Raw genomic sequence first — 6,867 nt, forward strand, 5'->3', positions numbered from 1 at the left:
TTGGGGTTAACTTGCTGTTTCTTTTCTGTTTTCTGTTTGTTTATTTGTTTGTTTTTTGAGGTGGAGTTTCACTCTGTCGCCCAGGCTGGAGTTCAGTGGCATGATCTTGGCTCACTGCAACCTCTGCCTCCCGGGTTCAATCAGTTCTGTCTCAGCCTCCTGAGTAACTGAGACTATAGGCACATGCCACCATACCCAGCTAATTTTTGTATTTTTAGGAGAGGTGGGGTTTCACCATATTGGTCAGGCTGGTCTCGAACTCCTGACCTAAAGTGATCCACCTGCCTCGGCCTCCCAAAGTGCTGGGATTACAGGCCTGAGCCACTGTGCCCGGCTTTGCTGTTCTTTTTCTAAATTCTTAAGGCAGAAACTCAGATTACCGCTTTAAAATCTTCTTCTCTTCTAATTTGGCATTTAAAGATCTAAATTACCCTCTAAGCATTTCTTTAACTGCATCCTATATATTTTGATGTATTTTATTTTTGTTTCCATTTAGTTTAGAATATTTCTAATTTTCCTTGTGATATATGCTTTCACCCATGAGTTATTTAGAGTGTGTTGCTTAATTCCCAAATATCTGGGATTTTCCAAGTATCTTTCTGTTACGAATTCTAGTTTAATTCCATTATGATCTAAGAACTCAATGTGTGTGATTTCCACCTTCTTAAATTTTTTGATACTATTTTATAAGCCTGAATGTGATCTTTCCTGATGAATATTCCATGCGCACTTAAAAAAGAACGTATATTCTGCTGCTGTTCGGTGTGGTGTTCTAGTGGATCAAGTTGGTCAATTATTTCTCCTTTCAGTTCTATTGGGTTTTGCCTCATGTACAGTATTTGGAAACTCTGTTACTGGACGCACATAGTCTTAGAATTGTCGTATCTTTATGAATCAATTCCTTTATCATTGTAAATTGTCCCTTGTTATCTCCGGTAATAATCCATGTTCTGAACTCTACTTTGTCTTATATGGGTATTGCCACTGCAGCTTTTTTTGATTAGTGCTTGCATAATATATCTTTATTCATCATTTTACTTTTAACCAATCTTTGTATTTATATGTAACATGGATAACTCTTGTCCAGCAGATAGCTGAGTCTTGCTTTTTATCCAGTGTGACAGTCTATGCCTTTTTCATTGGAGTGTTTAGACAACTTAAACTTAGTGTAATTATCAATATGGTTAGATTTAAATATACCATCTTGCAATTTTCTGTTTGTTCCAGTTGTTCTTTGTTTCCTTTTATTTCACTGTTTCTCTTGCCTTGTTTTGGTTTGGGTAATTTTTTTTAGTATTCCACTTTATCTCCAGTCTTGGCTTATCAACTATAACTTTTTGTTTTTGTTTTCATCTTCCTTATTGATGTTATTGTTGTTTTCATTATTGCTCCAACGTTTGCAATATACATCTTCAACTTATTTCAGTCTATCTTTTAACATTGCACCACTTCACCTATAGTGAGAGACTTTACAACAGTATATGGAAGTTATATGCTATATTTATATATGTACACAAGTTATACATTATATGTTCCTCTTCTCCTTTTGTGCCTTATAATAGTACATTTTAAACCCCACTGTGCATTGTCATTAACTTTACTTTAAACATTTAAAAAATAAGAAAAAATGTTTTTATATCTGCCCGAATATTTATGATTTCTGATACTTTTTAGCCCTTTGTATGATGACTTTGTTCTGATACTTTTTAGCCCTTCCTGATGACCTCCTTAGTCACGCAAACCTCTTTCTTTATAAATTACCCAGTCTCGGGTATGTCTTTATTAGCAGCATGAGAATGGACTAACACACCCTACATCCAAATATAGTCACATTCTGAGGTACTGAGAGTTAAGGCTTAAACATATGCATTTTGGAGATATACATCCAACCTATAACAATTTATTTCTGATAATAATGTGCTGTGACTCTTAGCTTTAATCCTCTGTGTAATGTCTTTTTTCTCTTGCTGCTTTTGGGATTCTTTTTATCACTGTTTTTCAACAGTTTGGTTGGGATGTTCTTTTTAGTATGGTTTTTTTGTGTGTTTTTCTTTTCTGTGTTTATTCTTTTTGTTAGAATTTTAAAATCTGATGTTTTATACTTTTTGTAAATTTTGAATATTTGAATAAGCCATTACTTCAAATACTTTTCTGACCCCCACCCCAGGGTTCTCACCTCTGGAACTCAAATTTCACATCTATTAAAGCATTCTGTCTTATTCCTCAGGTCACCAATGCTGAAACCACCTTTGCAAAATTGTGACTGAGACAGTGAAAGAGATCTAACCTCACCTATTCCATCTTGCTTTTAACCTCCAAGCTGTCCTTGTTCCTTCCTGAGTGTAGGCTGAACTAACTTTGGGAGGAACTTAGTTTATAATTTATAGTTTAAAACAAAGACAGTAACAGCCCTTTCCCAAAACAAACCTCCTTCTTGCCTGGGGACTAGACTGCCTTTGTAGGATTAACAAATTAGCCACAAAATTAAAAACCTTGGTTTAGGGGTCATGCAGCGGGAGGCTACAAGATTCTGACCCTCCCTAAACTGCTCCTAAGATCAGTACTTGAGATATTTTGCAGACCCTGCACTTGATGGATCAGCTGACACCACCCAGACCACCACAAGAGGACAGCTTCAATTTCCCATGACTTCATCTCCTACATAACCAGTCAGCAGTCTTGGCTGTCTGACTTTTCCCCCACCCACCAAATTGTCCATAAAAACTCTGATCCCCAAATGCCTGGGGAAACTGATTTGAGTAATAATAAAACTCCCATCTCCCACACAGTTGACTATGCATGAATTACTTTTTCTCTATTGCAGTTCCCCTGTCTCGATAAATTGGCTCTCTCTGTGCAGCAGGTAAGGTAAACCCACTGGGCAGCTACTATGCCTTCTTCATTTCTTTAGTCTTTTTCCCTGTCCGCTTTGTTTGGATCATTGCTATTGTTTTGTCTTCAAGTTTTCTTTTGTGGTAGCTAACCTGTTGTAAATCTCATCCAGTGCACTTTCTTCCAAATACTGTATTTCTTATTCTAGAAGTTCCAGTTGGCTCTTTTTCATGTCTTCCATTTCTTTTATGTTTTCCAGTACTTCCTTGAACACTTGTATCATCTTTCTAAGGGCTGTTTTAGAATCTTTGTCTGCAAACTCCATTTTATCTGTAATTTCTATATCTGTTTCCATAGGTTTTTCTCCTAATTGTATGTAACATTGTTCTGCTTCTTTGTATATGTAATAGATGTTTACTGGATTCCAGATATTTTGATTTTTACATTGTTGGGTGTTGGGTTTTGTTAGATTATTTTACATTGATTTGGACTTTGTTCTAGTCGGACCTCCAGAGAGACAAAATTCATCAGAGCTACACATATAGGCAGAAAGATAAGAAGGGATTTATTAAGAGAATTGACTCACTCCATTATGGAGGCTAAGTCCCAAAATAATCCATCTGCAAGCTGGAGACCCAGGGATCCCTGTAGCATGGCTTGGTCCAAATTCAAAGGCCTTAGGACCAAGGAAGCTGATGGTGTAACTCTTAGTGCGATGGCAAAGGCCTGAGAGCCAGTGGGGCAAGCAGAGGTGCCCGCTGGTATGTATCCTGAAGTCTAAAGAACAGAAAACCTAGAATTTTGATGTCCCAGGGCAAGAGAAGAAAGGTATCCAGGCTCCAAAAGAGAGAGAACAAGCATTTGTCCTTCCTACACCCTCTTGTTCTATCCAGGCACCCAGCCAATTGAATAGTGCCCACCCATGCTCAGGGTGGATCTTTCCCACCCAGTCCACCAATTCACACACAGTCTCCTTCAGAAACAGCCTCACAGACACACCCAGAGCAGCCCAATCATTCTAATCAGAAGCAAAACCACCTGGGTTTTTCTTTCAACAGAAAGAGGATGGGTTCAGTGCCTACTGAAGCTTTGAGAATAATTAGTGCAAAAACTGAGAATAAATGATATTTTACCAGCTCTCTGGGCTTCCCTTAATCCAGTCAACTTGACACCCCAAATCAACCATCACAGACTTTGATTCTTTCAAGGCTCACTTTTAAGCTTTGTTGGGGTGACTCCAAAGTAGCTTTTTGCTGGGGGAAGGCACTGAGTAGGAGAATAGAGTTAAATCCAAGGACAGAAAGTGAACCAAGAGAAAAAGGTCTCAAGCCATGGAGACGGCACAGAGCAATAAACCAAATCAGAGCAAAGATCGGAGACTAGCAGAGCTGAAGACTTGCATTCCTGGAAAAGCCAGTGTATATTTAAACTGCAGAAAAACTTTGTGTTTATATGTAAAACTGAGCTAGGTTCTGGGATTAGCTCATCATAAACAGGTTTCTCATTTACATTCAGAAGTGAAGAGTAACATGAGACATTCTCTTGGTGCACATCTAGCATTCTTGGCCTCCACCCACTCACTGGAAGCACTGTGCCTGCCTGCTCCTTGTGTCCACCAAAATTATTGCCACACATTTCCAAAGTGCCCCCTGTGGGAAGCATTACACCCCCACTGAAAGCCACTGGTGTAGGAACAAAGGATTTAAAATATGCCTCTCTTATTTTGCCCTTCATTGTCCCTATTTCCTCATCCTGCTGCATCATCAGGGAAATCCAAGGGCCCTTTTCTGTATACATTCTTCCTGGATGATGAGTTCACTCACTCCTGTGGCTGTAGCCACTGCCTTAATGCCCGTTCAGACGTCCACTCCTTCGTCTCCAGCCCTGCCTCTCCCTTTGTGCCTATTCAAAATCTGCTCATCCTCCAAGGCCCAGCTCAGATTCTGCCTACTCCGCTAAGCCTCCTCCAAGGATTTCAGCTAACATTGACCTGTCCCTCCTCTTGCCCCTGGAGACACTGCCTAAGGCTTAGTTCTTAATTGTACAGAACTCATCAAACTGTGGTCATGATGGGCCTCCAAAAACCTGTGATTAGATTTAGTCATTCCACAATGTATATCTATGTGAAAGCATCATGTCATACACAATACATATGTATAATTTTATCTGCCAATGTTCATATATAAATAAGATGTTTAACAACCAATTGGAATGGATGACAGCCATAGTGAAACTGCCTTCGCAAAGATTACGGCAGTGAGAGAAATCTACCATCACTAACTCCATTTTGCTTTTAACTTCATAAGCTAACTGCCCTGGGTGTAGGCCAAACTATGGGAGGGATTCAGTTTAGAGTTTAACTTTTAAAGCAAGAATGATAATAGTTCCTTCCTGAAACTAACCCCCTCCTTGTTCAGGACCAAAACTGCCTTTGTGAAACTAATGAAGGGCCACAACGTTAGAATCATGATAGGAGCCTGAACTCTGCATAGTTAAGTTATAACCAGCCATTGTTCCCTGGCTTGCTGACTGCTCAGAAGTCAAGTAGCTGGAGGTCACAGGATTTGTGACTTCCCCACTTGCCCCTGTAGATAACATCACTATTGTAAAACCTAAGACTGGTCTTTGAAACATTTTCCAGACTTTTGCATTCAGGCAGACCAACAGACACCACCCCGACCTGAACCTGAGACTCGTGCCAAACAGCTGACTCAACAGGGCCTGTGACCCCCCCACCCAGAAGCTGACTCAATGCATGAAGACAATTCCAACACTCCTATGATTTCATCCCCCATCCAGTTTGCAGCATCCCTTCCCTAGCCACCTGCCCACCAAAAAACCCTAGCCTCCAAGCTCCTGGGGAGGTGAATTTGAGAACTATCTCCCATCATGCTTCTGGGCTGCCTTGTGATAATTAAATCTTTTCTCTGCTGCAACACGCCTGCTGTCTCAGTGTATTGGCTTTATCTGTGCAGCAGGCAAGAAGAACCCACTGTACTATGGCAACCATGAAGTGAGGGTGTGGGGGGCCCTGTAGCACCAAGCTTGAATCCTGTAGTCTTTCTGGATTGTGAGGAGGCACAGAGACTCCCAGGGGAGGAGCTGCACAGCTGGAATGGCAAGGTCACCAGCCAAGCAGAAGGGACATTGGATGAATCAAGACCCACAATAGCTGTAAACCACTAGTTTGCCAACCCTGGCACATACCAACTTGACATAAATTCTGCCAATGACCAAAAATAATTGAAAATGAGGTTAAAGCTTATTAAATCTTAAAAAAAAAAAGAAAAAAAGAAAAAAAACCCGGGGAATGACTTGCTAAAATGTAGTGTCCAGGGCAACACCCTCAAAGGATACTGTAACTCTGGGTGATTATTTCCATTCCCGAACACCTAAAGCAAAGAAATCTACACTTTAACAAGCCCTCAGAGGGATTCTGATGTAAACTGAAATTTTAAGAGCCATGGCTTTGGTACTTTCACGTGTGTCTCAACTGATTTGTAAACTCTTTCAGTGCAAGAATCGCTTTTTAATGCTTGGAAGCTAGCCCCATGCTGGGCACATAATTAGAGTTTTCAGTTTTTAGTGTCAGGAGCTGGGGATTATTCCAGTTCTGGGGCTGTCTTGGATGTGGGTTTTAGTCTCCTGTATAATCTTCATCAGCCATCTCCATTCTCAGTCTTACCTTCAGTGCTGCAGTAAAGTCCTCACAAATGAAGCTTCCAGGTAAGACCCCCGACCTCTCTTTCAACAGAAATGCTGCTCCTAATCCCATCCTATATGGTAATTCTGGAGTAGTCACTGCCTGGACATGGAGATTAATAAACCTGATTTCTGTTTTCAAGGGACATCAAGTCTAAGAGATGAGAGGGATAGGTACATAAACAATTACACCATAATCTAAGCATATAAGAAATATAGAAACACTGGCAGAGTCGGGAAACTTAATATCTGGGCTGAGTTTAAAAAGAATGAATAGTAATTAATTCAACCAGGCAGTGAAGAGCAAGCCTAGTGAGGGAACTGCATGGGCAA

This window comes from Homo sapiens, chromosome 8, assembly GCF_000001405.40.
Source record: "Homo sapiens chromosome 8, GRCh38.p14 Primary Assembly".
Taxonomy (NCBI): Eukaryota; Metazoa; Chordata; class Mammalia; order Primates; family Hominidae; genus Homo; species Homo sapiens.